The sequence below is a fragment of the Homo sapiens genome, chromosome 22 (assembly GCF_000001405.40).
Source record: "Homo sapiens chromosome 22, GRCh38.p14 Primary Assembly".
NCBI lineage: Eukaryota > Metazoa > Chordata > Mammalia > Primates > Hominidae > Homo > Homo sapiens.
In genome coordinates this window covers 24,732,193-24,748,768 of record NC_000022.11, presented here as the reverse complement: position 1 = coordinate 24,748,768, position 16,576 = coordinate 24,732,193, and the positions used below count along the sequence as shown (strand labels likewise).

Sequence of the window (16,576 nt, the reverse complement as noted above, 5' to 3'; positions counted from 1 at the left end):
AAGAAACACTAAGAATGAATGTAAGGTGCTTGGCACATAGTAAGCTCTGTATTATGTCTATCTAATTAATATTCTGGACAATTGCTCATGGCATTTGGAAGATCCATTTTTTCAAATATATCCTTAAGAGTCAAGTACCTAGAATCAAAGTAATTCACTAACCTATGTCAAAAAAACTTTATTTAAATTTTGTTATCTTTAGTTTTTGTGGGTACATAGTAGGTATGTATATTTATGGGTTACATGTGGTATTTTGATACAGGCATGCAGTGCATAATCACATCAGGTTAAGTGGGGTATCTATCCCCTCAAGCATTTGTCCTTCATGTTACAAACCAATTATATTCTTTTAGTTATTTTAAAATACACAAATTATTTTTTACTTTAGTCACCCTTTTGTACTAGCAGATGCTAGGTCTTACTCATTTCTTCTATTTTTTGTACCCATTAACCATCATCCCCACATTCTCCTCCAACCTCCCACTACCCTTCCCAGACTCTGTAACCATCCTACTCTATCTCCATGAGTTCAATTGTTTTCATCTTGTAGATCCCACAAATAAGTGAGAACATGTAAAGCTCATTTTTCTGTGCCTGGCTAATTTCATTTAACACAGTGACCTTCAGTTCCAGCCTTGTTGCAAATGACAGGGTCTCATTGTTTTTTTTACGGCTGAATAGTACTCCATTGTGTATATGTATCACATTTTCTTCATCCATTTATCTGTTGGACATTTACATTGCTTCCAAATCTGGGTTATTGTGAACAGTGCTGCAATAAACATGGAAGTACAGATATCTCTTCAATATCCTAATTTCCTTTATTTTGGCTATATGCCTAGGAGTGGGATTGCTGCAACATATGTTAGCTCTATTTTTAGTGTTTTGAGGAACCTCCAAACTGTTCTCCATAGTGGTTATAGTAATTGACATTCCCACCAACTGCGTATGAGGGCTCCCTTTTCTCCACATCCTTACCAACATTTGTTATTGCTTGTCTTGCATAAAAGCCATTTAACTGGGGTGAGATGATATCTCATTGTAGTTTTGATTTGCATTTCTCTGATCATTGATATCAGCACTTTTTCATATGCCTGTTTGCTATTTGTATGTCTTCAGAAATGTCTGTTCAAGTGTTTTGTCCATTCTTAATTGGATTATTTTTCCCCTATAAAGTTGTTTGCTTTCCTTAGATTTTGGTTATTAATCCCTTGTCAGACAGGTAGTTTGCAAATATTTTCTCCCATTCTGTGAGTTGTTGCTCTACTTTGTTTCCTTTGCTACATAGAAGCTTTTTAACTTGATGTGATCCTACATATCCATTTTTGCTTTAGTTGCCTGTGCTTGTGGGGTATTGCTCAAGAAATCTTTGCTCACTCTAATGTCCTGGAGAGTTTCCCCAATGTTTTCTTGTAGTGGTTTCATAGTTTGAGGTCTTGGATTTATGTCTTCAAGCCATCTTAATTTTTTTTAATATATGGTGAGAGATAGGGATCTAGTTTCATTCTTCCGCATATGGATATACAGAAGAGACTGTCCTTTCCCCAATGTATGTTCTTGGTTCCTTTGTCAAAAATGAGTTCACAGTAGATATGGATTTATTTTTGGGTTCTCTATTTCTGATCCACTGGTCTATATGTCTGTTTTTATGCCAGTACCATGCCATTTTGGTTACTATAGCTCTGTAGTATAATTTGAAGTCAGGTAATATGATTCTTCCAGTTTTGTTCTTTTTGCTTAGGATAGCTTATGGAATTCTGGGTCTTTTGGTTTTAAAATAAGTTTTAGGATAGTTTTTTCTGTTTCTATAAAGAATACCCTTGGTATTATGATAGGGATTGCTTTGGATAATATGGACATTTTAATGTATCGATTCTTCTAATTCATGAACATGGAATATCTTCATTTTTGTGTGTGGCCTCTTAAATTTCTTGCATCAGTGTTTTATAGTTTTCATTGTAGGGATCTTTCACTAATTTGGTTAGGTTAATTCCTAGGTATTTTATTTTTATCTATTGTAAATGGGATTCTTTTTCAGATTGTTCACTGTTAGCATATAGAAATGCTACTGATTTTTTGTTTTTTTGTATCCTGCAACTTTATTAAATTTATCAGTTCTATGTTTTTTTTTTTTGGAGTCGTTAGATTTTTCCAAATATCAGATCCTATCTTTGCAATTTGGATTATCTTAATCTTTTGTATGATGACTCTAGCTAGGACTTCTAGTACTATGTTGAATAACAATGGTGACAGGGAGCATCCTTGTTGTATTCTAGATCTTGGAGAAAAGGCTTTCAGTTTTTTCCCATACTAGCTGTGGGTCTGAAGTGTATGGCTTTTATTATGTTGAAATATGTTCATTCTATACCCAGGTTTTGAGGGTTTTCAATTATGAAGGGATATTGAATTTTAATAAATGCTGCTCAGCATCAGTTGAAATGATCATATGAGTTTGTCCTTCATTCTGTGGATATATCATGTTGATTTGCCTACATAGAACCATCCTTGAATCCCTGGGACAAATCCCACTTGGTGATGAACTTTTTTTACTGTGTTAGTAAATTGTTTGCTGGTATTTTGTTGAGGATTTTTTATATCAGTGTTCATTGGAGATATTGGCCTGTAGTTTTCTTTTCTTGATGTGTCTTTGGTTTTAGTAATACTTCATGAAATGACTTGGAAGTATTCCCTCCTCCTCTATTTTTCGGAATAGGAGTAGGATTGGTATTAGTTCTTCTTTAAATGTTTGGCAGAATTCAGCAGTGAAGCGATCAGGTCCTGGGCTTTTCTTTGGGAAACTTTTTATTACATCTCTGATCTTATTACTTGTTATTGGTCTGTTCTGGTTTTGGATTTCTTCATGGTTTGATCTTGGTAGGTTGTATATGTTTAGTAATTTTTCCATTTCTTCTAGATTTTCCAATTTACTGGCATATAGTTGCTCATAGTAGCCAGGAATGAACCTTTACATTTCTGCAATATTGGTTGTCCTCTCCATTTTCATCTCTGGTTTTACTTATTTGGATCTTCTTTTTTTTTTTTTTTTTTTTTCTTAGTCTGACTAAAGATTTGTCCGTTTTGTTTATCTTTTCAAAAAACCTTTTGTTTCATTGATCTTTTATATTTTCTTCATTTTAATTTCATTTTTCTTGGCTCTATGATCTTCATTCTTTTAGGCTTGGTTTGCTCTTGCTTTTGTTTGTTTGTTTGTTTATTTATTTAGAGACAGAGTCTCACTCTGTTGCCCAGGCTGGAGTGTAGTGGGGTGATTCTGGCTCACTGCAACCTCCACCTCCCTGGTTCAAGCAATTCTTGTGCCTCAGTCTCCCGAGTCCCAGCACCTGGGATTTTGCCATCTTGGCCAGGTTGGTCTTGAACTCCTGACCTCAAGTGATCTGCCCATCTCGGCCTCCCAAAGTGCTGGGATTACAGGTGTGAGACACCACATCTGGCTTTGTATTTCTAATTCTTTAAGATGCGTCATTAGGTGGTTTGAAGTTTTGCTCTTTTGATGTAGGCACTTATAGCTATAAAATTCCCTCTTATTACTGCTTTCGCTGTATCCCATAGGTTTTGGTATGTCATGGTTTCATTATCATTTGTTTCAAGAAAAGTCTCAATTTCCTTAATTTGACCCATGAACAGTGGTCATTCAGGAGCATATTGTTTAGTTTCCATGTGTTTGTATAGTTTCCAAAATTCCTCGTTTTTGATTTCTAGTTTTGTTTCATGTGATCAGAGAAGATGCTTTGTTTGTCTTTTGAATGTTTTAAGACTTCTTTTGTAACCTAATATATGGTCTATCCTTGAATGATCCATGTACTGAGGAAAAGAATGTTCATCGTGCAGCTATTGGCTGAAATCTTCTGTAACTACGATGTCCCTCTGGTGTATAGTGCAGGTTAAGGCCAACATTTCCCTTTTTTGTCTGAAAGATCTGTCCAGTGCTGAAAGTGGGATGTTAAAGTCTCCAGCTATTATCGTATTGGGGACTATCTCTCCTTAGCTCTAATAATACTTGTTTTATATATCTGGGTTACTCCAGTGTTGAGTGTATATATATTTACAATTGTCATATCCTCTTGCTGAATTGACCACTTTATTGTTGCATAGTGACCTTCTTTGTCTCATAGTTTTTGTCTTGAAATCTATTTTGTCTAAGTATAGCTATTCCTGTTTTTTTTGTTTTTGTTTTTGAGACAGAGTCTTGCTCTGTCGCCCAGGCTGGAGTGCAGTGGCATGATCTCGGCTCACTGCAATGTCCTCCTCCCGGGTTCAAGCGATTCTCCTGCCTCAGCCTCCTGAGTAGCTGGGATTACAGGTGTGTGCCACCACGCCCAGCTAATTTTTTTTGTATTTTTAGTAGAGACAGGTTTCACCATGTTGGTCAGGCTGGTCTCGAACTCCTGACCTTGTGATTCACCTGCCTCGGCTTCCCAAAGTGCTGGGATTACAGGCATGAGCCACCGCACCTGGCCTTTTTTGTGTTTTTTCATGCCTTTATTTTCAGTCTATGTGAGTCTTTATAGGTCAAGTGTTTTTTGCAGGCAGCAGATCATTGTTTTTTTTTTTTTTTTTTTTTTTTTTTTTAATTCGGTCACTCTTTCAATTAGAGTTTAGTCCATTTACATTCAGTGTTATTATTGAGAAGTAAGGATTTACTCCTGCCATTTTGTTATGTGTTTTCCGGTTTTATAGTCTCTTCTTCCTCCTTTCTTTCCTGCCTTCCTTTTAGTGAAGGTGATTTTCTCTAGTATGCTATAACTTGTTTGTTTTGTGTATCCATTGCATATTTTTGAAGTTACCATAAGGTTTGCAAATACTGTCTTATAACCCCTTCTTTTAAGGTGCCGACAACACTGCTTGCAAACAAACAAGCAAAAAGAAAATGAATAAACTCTATTTTAAATTTGTCGTTTGCTTTTTAAAACATTTTTCTTCTGTTTTTTTAAATTTTATTTCAATAGGTTTTTGTGGAACAGGTAGTTACGTGGATAAGTTCTAGTGGTGATATTTGTACTTTTGGTGCATCCATCACCTGAGCAGTGTACACTGTACTGAACATGTAGTATTTGATCCATCACCCCCTCCCATCCTTCCCCGCAGTCCCCAAAGTCCATTGCATCATTCTTACGCCTTTGCATCCTCATAGTTCAGCTCCCACTTATGAGTGAGAAGATAACAATGTTTGGTTTTCCATTCCTGAGTTACTTCATTTAGAATAATGGTCTCCAACTCCAGGTTGCTGCAAACCCTTTTTATGGCTGAGTAGTATTCCATGGTATGAATATACACATTTTCTTTATCTACTCATTGACTGAACATTTGGGATGGTTCTATATTTTTGTGATCGCAAACTGTGCTGCTATAAACTTGCATGTGCAAGTATCTTTTTCATATAATGACTTTTCCTCTGGGCAGATACCTAGTAGTGGGATTGCTAGTTCAAATGGTAGATCTTGTAGTCCTTTAAGAAATCTCTACACTGTTTTCCAGAGTGGTTGTACTAGTTTACATTCCCACCAGCTGTATAAAAGTGTTCCCTTCTTGCCACATCCATGTCAACATCTGTCTTTTGATTTTTTTTTTAATTGCCATTGTTGCAGGAGTAAGGCGGTATTGCATTTTCCTGGTCATTAGAACATGTTTTCATGTTGGCCATTTGTATATCCTTTGAGAATTGTCTATTCATGTCCTTTGCCCACTTTTTGATGGGATTGTTTTCTTTCTTGCTGATTTGAGTTCCTTGTAGATTCTGGATATCAGTCCTTCATCATATGCATAGTTTGGGAATATTTTCTCCCATTCTGTGAGTTGTCTGTTTGCTGATTATTTCTTTTGCTGTGCATAAGTTTTTTAGTTTAATTAAGTCCCATTGATTTATCTTTGTGTTGCATTTGCTTTTGGGTTCTTGGTCATGAAGTCTTTGCCCAAGCCAATGTCTAGAAGGGTTTTTCTGATGTTATCTTCTAGAATTCTTATGGCTTCAGGTCTTAGATTTAAGTCTTTGATCCATCTTGAGTTGATGTTTGTATAAGGTGAGAGATGAGATCCAGTTTCTTTCTGCTACATGTGGCTTGCCAATTATACCAGCATCATTTGTTGAATAGGTTATCCTTTCCCCACTTTGTTTTTGTTTGCTTTGTCAAAGACCAGTTAGCTACAAGTATTTGGCTTTATTTCTGGGTTCTCTATTCTGTTCCATTGGTCTATGTGCCTATTTTTTATACCAGTACCATGTTGTTTGGATGACTATAGCCTTGTAGCATAGTTTGAAATCAAATAATATGATGCCTCCAGATTTGTTATTGCTTAGTCTTCCTTTGGCTGTGCAGGCTCTTTTTTGGTTCCATATGAATCTAGGATTTTTTTGATTTTTTTTTCTAGTTCTATGAAGAATGATGATGGTATTTTGATGGGAATTGCACTGAATTTGTAGATTGCTTTTGGCAGTATAGTCATTTTCACAATATTGATTCTACCCATCCATGAGCATGGGATGTGTTTTCATTTGTGTCACCTGTGATTTCTTTCAGTAGTCTGTTGTAGTTTTCCTTATAGAGGTCTTTTACCTCCTTGGTTAGGTTAGGTATATTCCTTTTTTTTTTTTTTTTTTTGCAGCTATTGTAAAAGTGGTTGAGTTCTTGATTTGATTCTTAGCTTGGTTGCTGTTGATGTATAGCAGTGCTACTGATTTGTTACATTAATTTCATATCCTGAAATTTCATTGAATTCTCAGATCTAGGAGCTTTGTTGGATGAGTCTTTAGGGTTTTCTAGGTATGCAATCATATCATCAGCAAACAGTGACAGTGTGACTTCCTCTTTGCCGATTTGGATGTCCTTTATTTCTTTCTCCTGTCTGATTGCTCTGGCTAGGACTTATAGTACTATGTTTCATAGAAGTGGTGAAACGGGGGGCATCTGTCTTGTTGCAGTTCTTGGGGGGGAATGCTTTCAACTTTTCACCGTTAACCTGCTCCTGAATGATCATTGGGTTATCTAATTTCCATGTATTTGCATGATTTTGGGTGTTCCTTTTGGAGCTGATTTCCAGTTTTACTCCACTGTGGTCTGAGAGAGTACTTGATATAATTTTGATTTTCTTCAATTTGAGACTTGTGTCCTTTGCTTTTTAACTTATGTTTCTATTTATATCCTATGGCTTTTATTACCTTAAGGTATGTCCCTTCTATGCCGATTTTGCTGAGGTGGTTTGTTTTTTGTGGGTGGTTGGTTTTTTTGTTTGTTTGTTTTTGTTTTTTTGAAACAAATTCTCACTCTGTCAGCTAGGCTGGAGTGCAGTGGCACAACCTTGGTTCACTACAACCTCTGCCTGTTGGGTTCAAGTGATTCTCCTACCTCAGCCTCCCAAATAGCTGGGACTATGGTGCATGCCACCAGGCCCGGCTAATTTTTAGTAGAGACAGGGTTTCACCATGTTAGCCAGGATGGTCTTGATCTCCTGACTTCGTGATTGGCCCACCTCTGCCTCCCAAAGTGCTGGGATTACAGGTGTGAGCCACCGCGCCTGGCCATGAGGTTTTTAATCATAAAGCGATGCTGGATTTTATCAAATGCTTTTTCTGCATCTATTGAGATAACCATGTGATTTTTGTTTTTAATCCTGTTTGTGTGGTGTAGCACGTTTATTGACTTGCATATTTTAAACCATCCCTGTATCCCTGGTACAAAGCCCACTTGATCATGGTGGATTATCTTTTTGATATGGTGATGGATTCATTTAGCTAGTATTTTGTTGAGAATTTTTACATCTATGTTCACCAGGAAGATTGATCTATATAGTTTTCTTTTGTTTTCTTCTTTCTTGGTTTTGGTATTAGGGTGATACTGGCTTCATAGAATGATTTAGGAGGATTCCTTCTTTCTTTGTCTTTTGGAATAGTTTCAGTAGGATTGGCACCAATTCTTCTTTGAGTGTCTGACAGAATTCAGCTGTGAATCCATCTGGTCCTGGACTTTTTTTGGTGGCATCTTATATTACCATTTCAATCTCACTGCTTGTTATTGGCCTGTTCAGAGTTTGTTTCTTCCTGGTTTGATCTAGGAGGGTTGTATATTTCCGGTTCCAGGAATTTATCCATCTCCTCTAGGTTTTCTAGTTTGTGTGTGTAAAGGTGTTCATAGTGGCCTTGAATGATCTATTGTATTTCTGTGGTATCAGTTGTAATATCTCCAGTTTCTTTCTTTTTTTTTTTTTTGAGATGGAGTCTTGCTCTGTTGCCCAGGATGGAGTGCAGTGGCATGATCTCAGCTCACTGCAAACTCTGCCTCCCGGGTTCATGCCATTCTCCTGCCTCAGCCTCCCAAGCAACGGGGACTACAGGCACCTGCCACCATGTCTGGCTAATTTTTTGTGTTTTTAGTAGAGACGGGGTTTCACCATGTTAGCCAGGATGGTCTCGATCTCCTGACCTTGTGATCCACCCGCCTCGGGCTCCCAAAGTGCTGGGATTACAGGAGTGGGCCATTGTGCCCAGCCTCCCGTTTCATTTCTAATTGAGCTTTTAGAAATTTTTTTTTTTTTTTTGAGACAGTCTCCCTCCGTTGCCCAGGTTGGAGTGCAGTGGTGGCACGATCTTGGCTTGCTGCAAACTCCACCTCCTGGGTTCAAGCAATTCTCTGCCTCAGCCTCCTGAGTAGCTGGGACTACAGGTGCCTGTCACCATGCCCGGCTAATTTTTTTTTTTTTTTTTTGAGACCGAGTCTCACTTTGTCCCCCAGGCTGGGGTGCAGTGGGCACCATCTTGGCTCAGTGCAAGCTCCACCTACCGGGTTCACACCATTCTCCTGCCTCAGCCTCCTGAGTAGCTGGGACTACAGGTGCCTGTCACCATGCCCGGCTAATTTTTTTGTATTTTTAGTAGAGATGGGGTTTCACTGTGTTAGCCAGGATGGTCTCGATCTCCTGACCTCATGATCCTCCCGCCTCGGCCTCTCAAAATGCTGGGATTACAGGCATGAGCCACCGCCCCCGGCCCTATTACCAGTAAGTTTTGTACCTTCAGATGAATTCCTATTGCTCCTCAACATTCCTCTTTTTCTGATTGAAGTACCCCTTTTAGCATTTCTTTGTAGGGCAGATCTGGTGTTGATGAAATCCCTCGGCTTTTGTTTGTCTGGAAAAGTCTTTGTCCTTCATGTTTGAAGGATATTTTTACTGGGTATATTATTCTGGGGTAATTTTTTTTTTCCTACAGCACTTTAAAGATGTTATGCTACTCTCTTCTGATCTGTATGGCTTCCACTGAAAAGTCTGCTGCCAGATGTATTGGAGCTCCATTCTATGTTATTTTTCTCTTGCTGCTATTAGGATCCTTTCTTTATCCTTGACCTTTTAAAGTTTGATTATCAAATGCCTTGAAGTAGTTGTCTATGGGTGAAATCTACTGTAACCACTTTATACTTAGATATTGATATATTTCTTTAGGTTTGGGAAGTTCTGCTATCTCTTTGAGTGAACTTTGTACCATTATCTCTTTCTTTACCTTGTCTATAAGGACAGTAACTCTTTGATTTTCCCTTTTGAGGCTATTTTCTAGATTTTGTAGGCATGCTTCTGTGTTTTCTTTTGTCTCCTCTATGTGTTTTCAAACAGCCTGCCTTTGAACTCAGTAATTCTTTCTTCTGCTTGATTTAATTCTGCTCTTAAGAGACTCTGATGTATTCAATATGTCAATTGCATGTTTTAACTCCAGAATTTCTACTTGAATCTTTTTAATTATTTCAACCTCTTTGTAGAATTTATCTACTAGAATTCCCAATTCTTTCTGTTATCTTGAATTTCTTTGAGTTTCCTCTTAAATAGCTATTTTGAGTTGTCCGAAAGGTCACATATCTGTTTCTCCAGAACTGGTGCCTGGTGCCTTATTTGGTTCATTTTCTGAGGTCCGTGTTTTCCTGGATGGTCTTGATGCTTGGGGAAGTTGATGAGTGTTTGGGCATTGAAAGTTAGGTTTTCATTGTTCTCTTCGCCATCTGGGCTTGTTTGTATTCATCTTCCTTGGGAAGGCTGTCCAGGTATTCAGAAGTACTTGGGTATTGTGATCTAAGTCATATCTGCATCAGGGGACATTCCAAGCACAGTAATGCTATGGTTCTCACAGATTCATGGTGATATCACCTTGATGATCTTGATATGATCCAGAAGACTTCTGGATTACCAGGCAGAGAGTCTTGTTTGCTTACTTTCTGTGTCTCTGTGCTGAACCGCCTGGAGCTGGGTTTGGGGTGACACAGGCATCCCTGCGGTGACCACCAATGGGACTGCACGGGGTCAACCTGAAGCCAGCACAGCACTGGGTCTTGCCCAAGGCCCACTGTGACCACCACCAGGCTACCAGCTATGTTGGCTCAAGGCCCTAGGGCTCTGCAATCAAGTGGTAAAGCAGCCAGACTTATGTCCTTCCCTTCAGGGGCAGTAAGTTCCCCCAGGCCCTGGGCAGGTACAGAAATGCCAGTCAGGAGTCAGGGACTGGAGTCAAAAATCATAGAAACCCACCTGGTATTCTTTTGTACTGTGGCTGAGCTGGCACTCAAATCACATGATGCAGACCTTCTCACTCTTCCCTTCCTTCTTTTTCTTTTTCTTTCTTTTTTTGAGACAGTCTTGCTCTGTCGCCTAGGCTGGAGTGCAGTGGTGCAATCTTGGCTCACTGCAACCTCCACTTACTGGGTTCAAGCGATTCTCATGCCTCAGCCTCCCAAGTAGCTGGGATTACAGCGCCCACCACCACAGCCAGCTAATTTTTATATTTTTAGTAGAAGACGGGGTTTCATCAGGTTGGCCAGACCTCCTGACCTCAAGTGATCCACCTGCCTTGGCCTCCCAAAGTCCTGGGATTCCAGGCGTGAGCCACCGCGCCCGGCCCCCTTCTCTTTCTACACATAGAGGAGCCTCACCCCATGGCCACCACCACCACAGGCCCATAGGGAGTACTGCTAGGCTACTACCACTGTTCCCTTAAGGTCCATGGGCTCTTCAGTCAGCTTGCGGTGAATGCTGCCAGGCCTAGGACTTACCCTTCAGGGCAGCGTGCTCCACTTTGGCCCCAGGCAGGTCCAGAAATGCCATCCACGAGCCAAGGCCTGGGATTGGGGACCCCAAAAGCCTGCTTGATGCTCTACCCCACTGTGGCTGAGATGGCACCTAAGGTGCAAGACAAAGTCCCCTTTACTCTTCCACTTTTCCCTCTACTTTTCTCAAGCAGGAGTCTCTCCCCATAGCCACAACAGCTGGGAATATGCTGGTTCTCACCTGAAGCCAGCATGTCTGAGTCCACCCAAGGCCCTCACATTCTACCTGGGTATTATTGCTGGTTCTTCAGGGTCCAAGGGCTCTTTAGTCAGTAGGTGATGAAACCTGCCTGGGCTGGGTCCTTCCCTTCAAAGCAACAGGTTTCCCTTCTGGCCCAGGGTATGTCTAGAAATGTCATCTAAGAGCTAGGGTCCAGAATGGGAGCCTCACAACCGTGACTGTTGTCCTGTCCTACTGTAGCTGCGCTGGTATCCAAGATACAAGACAAAGTCTTCACTCTTCCTTCTTTTCTCCTGAAGCAGAAAGAAGGGCTCTCTTTTGGAGCTTTGAGCTGTGCTGCCATTGAGTTGGGGGAGGGATGATGCAAGCACTCTCTTAGCTACCCTGGCTGGTGCCTCAGTAGATCCTGTCCCCTACCCCTCCACCCCTAGTTTATGAGCTCTGAGCTCAGATCAGCATTAGGACTTGCCTAGGGATTGCAGTCTTTGTGGCCTAAACTGTTTCTCAGGTTCACTTAGGGCCACAGAGCACCCCAGCCCATGGTGCTGAGGCTTTCCAGAACTCGAGCTCTGACCACTGGGCTGGGAAATTCCCCTTTGGCTAGGGCCAGAATCAAATGTTCCCCCTATGGGTGGCCATCAGCTGAGGACAGCTCAGTTCTGCTTTCTGCTGTGACAGGGCAGTGCTGATTTTAATGCAAAGCCTCACAGTTGCTGTGCTCTCCCTCTCCCAACTGCACAGATTCTTGGCACCATGCAGGGGTGGGAGAAGGGTGACGTCAGCAATTCAAGACTGTTTTTCCTACCTTCAGTGCCTCTTTCAGCAATATAAAGTAAAAACCAGACACTGAGTGCTCACCTGATGTTTGGTTCCTATGAAGGTGCTCCCTTTGTACAAATAGTTGTCAAACTTAGTGTTCCTCTTGTAGGGATGATCAGTGGAGCCCTCTATTTGGCCATCTTACTCCATCCTTGGTTAAATGTCTCAAGTGTCATTCCTTGGAATAAAGTTCCCACTAAAAGACTAAATATTTAGGGAGCACATGCTGTGATAGAACAGTATGAGGAGGCAGTCTGAGTCTAACAGCACTGAAAAGCTCCAAAAGAAACTTCAAATAAAATTAAGTTTATTTGCACTAAGACTGATTCACCAATTGTGCAGCATTCAATCAGAAGGGGTTCAGAGAGTTCTGCTGCAGCAGTGTGAACAGTGAGCTATTATAGGCCGATGCAAAATAGGACAAAATACATTTGATCTATTAGAGTGGAAGGACCCTAGTTGGTAGTTGGAAGTTTCTGATTGGTAAAGTCTCTGGCTTTGCTTTACTGTTTATACTGGAGTTTGCTTTGCCTACATAGGAACCTAAAGCTCTGGAGCCATCTCCCCTGCAATGGCCTCTCAATTAAAATTTTTAACACCTAGGATAGAATTTCAGTCCTATTAACCTATATCTTAATGAAAAAAATACCTACATTGGCCATTCAAGTTTATAATTGTAACATTTCTATAGGAGATAGCACGGATTTACAGCGTACAGGATCTCAGATAAGTTGATCTTTAAAATAAAGTTTTATGCCATGTCTTATAATTCTTTTCCAGGTTAAAGCCAATTCACAAGGAGACTGGTCAAGAGAAATAAGAGAATTACCCTTACTTAATGCAATGCCACTACATAGTTGGCTCATACTCTATAGCAGGAGCAGTCACAGAGAAGCCATGTCCTTAAAGGGTCATCTACAGAGTGTCACAGCCCCCATGGGCATAACTATGAAACCAGCAGAAATGTAAGTAGAGCAGAAATTCCCATTTGAAAATCGATTGTTAGCAATCTTAAAGTATAATAACTAAAATATTAAATTGTAGGAATTGGTCACTGTATCAAAACCTTAGAGTTTGTAAAGTCTAATCTCTAGTCAAAAAATATTAAAACAGACTTTGTGATATATGGTTTACGGCTATTAAGATACATGTTGTAGAAGGTATGAGAATTAAGAACTTGATGTGAATGGATGGGAGAATATTAAGAATTCTCACGCATGTTTCCAAAAACTGAACTTAAAAAACTTTCTAGAGAAGTTTTAGGTTTACAGCAAAAGTAAGAGGAGATTAGAGACTTCTCATATATATCCTGCCCCCAATAATGCATAGCCTCCCCCATCAACATCCCCTACCAGTGTGGTACATTTGTTGCAGCTGATGAGCCTACATTGAAATATCATAATCACCCAAAGTCCATAGTTTACAGTAGGGTTCACTCTTGGAGTTGTACATTCTACTGGTTTGGACAAATGTATATGACATGTATCCACCATTGGTTTCATGCACAGTATTTTTCACTGCCCTAAAAGTCTTCTGTGCTTCACCTAATTATCCCTTCCTACCACCACCTGCCCCTTGCACCACAACCTCTGAGGACCACTAATTTATTTATTTTTTTATTTTTTTATTTTTTTACCGTCTCCATGGTTTTGCCTTTTTAGAATGTCATCTAGTTAGACTCATACAGTATGTAGTCTTCTCAGCCTCGGCTTCTTTTGCTTAGTACTTGGATGATAAAATCTGTACAACAAACCCTCAGGGCACAAGTTTACCTATATAACAAACCTGCATGTGTACCCCTGAACCTAAACGTTGTTTTTTTTGGTTTTTTTTTCTAAAAAAAAAAAAAAAAGTTATGTTCTGGTTAACTAGCTTCTCCTGAGGGCAGGGTTTGTTAGGAACACAGGACCCTGGTGTATTTCAAAATAAATTCTTTTCCCCTCCCCCTGCTGGAAGCACTAGACAATTTTCCTCTGGTTTTTACTGTGAGAACCTGGTCAAGCTCCTAGAGGTAAAACTCTCAAAACTGTGGGGACCCTCCTGTGACTGGGTATACCTGGAATTTTTAACCCTCACAGTTGTCCATGCTGAGCCTGCAGTAATTCATCAGTTACAGTTCAGGTGGTCTGACCCAGGAACTGTTTCCCTGGGAAGTTTCCAGAGTCTTTGCTCCAGCTAGCCAGGACTCCTTGTTTTTGCTTATTTGTCTCTTCAATATTGGAGGCAGTGATTTGCCCTGTGTCCTCACCTCTCTTGAAAATCCTAGGAGAGCTGTTCATTGTTTTCAGTCTGTTTAGCTTTTGACTTGCTGTTAGGGCAGAGTAGTGATGTCAAAGCTCCTTACAAGTAGAATCGGAAACTGAAAGTCTACTGTCTTTTTTCTTTTAAACATACTTTCTACTGAAATGCATATCTTGGTATTTTATCATGTCTTACTTTGTATTTAATTTGCTGGGTGAAACGTTTGTTTCACTGGTTGGTATCTTTTGGATGTGGATGCTATATTTATTTTTTAGGATTGAAGTAGATGGTGATGCTAACTCCTATATAGACACATTACGGAAATATACTAGACCAACACTGCAGATGGTAAGTGTCTAGTTGATACATGTACAATCTTTTAGTTATTGTTCCAAACCATCTTGATAAGTATTTTAGAATTCAAAATGTTGTTGTTGGTTTCCTGAACTTGCCAACGAAAGCAGATTAACCTGCTATTAGCTGAATACAAACTTTCATGGTTTAGCTATTCCTGAGTATCACAATCGTATGCTAATTTTCTCAGACTTGGAGACTCGTAATTACTTTTAAAATCTCCTAACTTGAAAAAATACACCATACAAATGTAAAGTAGTGTGGGTATTAATAATCACATTCATTACTTTTACCCGCAGGTGTAACCTGCCAAGTCTGTGATCACGATCTTCTAGCCTATTATTCTTCTTGCCTGTTTTTTTTTGTTGTTGTTGTTTTTTGTTTGTTTGTTTGTTTTTGAGATGGAGTCTTGCTCCATGGCCCAGGCTGGAGTGAAGTGGCATGATCTCGGCCCACTGTAACCTCTGCCTCCCGGTTCAAGCAATTCTCCTGCCTCAGCCTCCCAAGTAGCTGGGATTACAGGCGCCTACCACCATGCCCAGCTAATTTTTATATTTTTAATAGAGATGAGGTTGGCCAGACTGGTCTCGAACTCCTGACCTCCAGTGATCTGCCTACCTCGGCCTCCCAAAGTGCTGGGACTACAGGCATGAGCCACTGTGCCAGGCAATAGTTGCCTGGTATTTTTCTAGGAGTCTGTTCTTTCCTTTCTTCCATTTGGTGTCTTAGACCAAGTTGTCATTATGTTGTATCTGAATTACTACAGCAAATTCTTTTTCTTTCTTGGGCTCTTTACACTAGTTCATCTTCTTTCTTCCCCCAGGATGATCTTGAGGGGTAGAGGTGGGAAGATGTCTTTGTTTCTTGACCATGAAACCAGAATGTTTTCCTATTGTGTTTTACATGAAGCCTAGACTTTCTTCTTTTAATTGCCCCTAGGGAACCCTTGTAGGATACCCTGAAGAATACCTTATGTGAGCCGTACGCATTCTGAAATGTAATGTCTGCATTTTGAAATCCTGTTGGACTTAAGTTTTATGTGTTGCTTCCTGTTACTTGAGTATTGTTTTATTCTTTCCTGGCCCCCTCTTGGTAAGAGAAGCCCCCATTGGGAACCAGCAAAGCTTCCTGTTCTAGGATTAGAATCAGAGTAAAAGGGGCTTTGGCAGCTGTTTGAATTCCAGCTTATTCTCATAACAGGAATCTCTTTGCTCATTTGGTATCTGCCTGAAAAGCTCAAGATTACCTTTTCTTTTTTTTTGAGACAGAGTCTCACTCGTCACCCAGGCTGGACTGCAGTGGCGTGATCTCGGCTCAAGCTCCGCCTCCCAGGTTCATGCCATTCTCCTGCCTCAGCCTCCCGAGTAGCTGGGACTACAGGCGCCTGCCGCCACACCCGGCTAATTTTTTGTATTTTTAGTAGAGACGGGGTTTCACTGTGTTAGCCAGGATGGTCTCGATCTCCTGACCTCGTGATCCACCTGCCTCGGCCTCCCAAAGTGCTGGGATTACAGGCGTGAGCCACCGCACCCGGCCTCAAGATTACCTTTTTAATGTGGGGCTTTCTTTAAAGAACTTCTGCCTCTTGAAGAAGAACTTGTCCTACTTTTACTCATTTACTCATTTATTCATCCTAGATTTGCCTTTTGGAACAATTTCTTAAGGTATCGCCTTAAATATTTTAAGGCATTATGTCAGATGGCATGGGGGAAGCGTGTCCACAATCTTATGTACCCCAAATGGATGGAAATGATCCATATAATAGGGACTAAAAATCACTTATAAAACTGTTCCAGTACAGATGGAAATCTCCATAGACCAGCAATAGAAGGGGATTCATGTATGTAACTAGGAATCAAGCCATGTGGCATGAGGTAAAGGCAGA

At 40.2% G+C, this 16,576-nt stretch overlaps 1 protein-coding gene across 4 annotated transcripts in view; it reads left to right on the top strand.

The window, feature by feature from the left end:
* Window positions 1–16,576, top strand: part of PIWIL3 (piwi like RNA-mediated gene silencing 3) — a 55,687-nt gene that overhangs the window by 25,952 nt on the left and 13,159 nt on the right. For all 4 annotated transcript variants that reach the window (NR_045649.2, NR_045648.1, NM_001255975.1 and 1 more), the window contains 2 exons: window positions 12,877–13,061; window positions 14,613–14,685. Coding sequence is in view for 2 of the 4 variants with exons in the window: in NM_001255975.1 (NP_001242904.1) it covers window positions 12,877–13,061; window positions 14,613–14,685 (258 nt within the window). In the remaining 2 variants the exon portion in view is untranslated. The remainder of the gene's footprint in view (window positions 1–12,876; window positions 13,062–14,612; window positions 14,686–16,576) is intronic.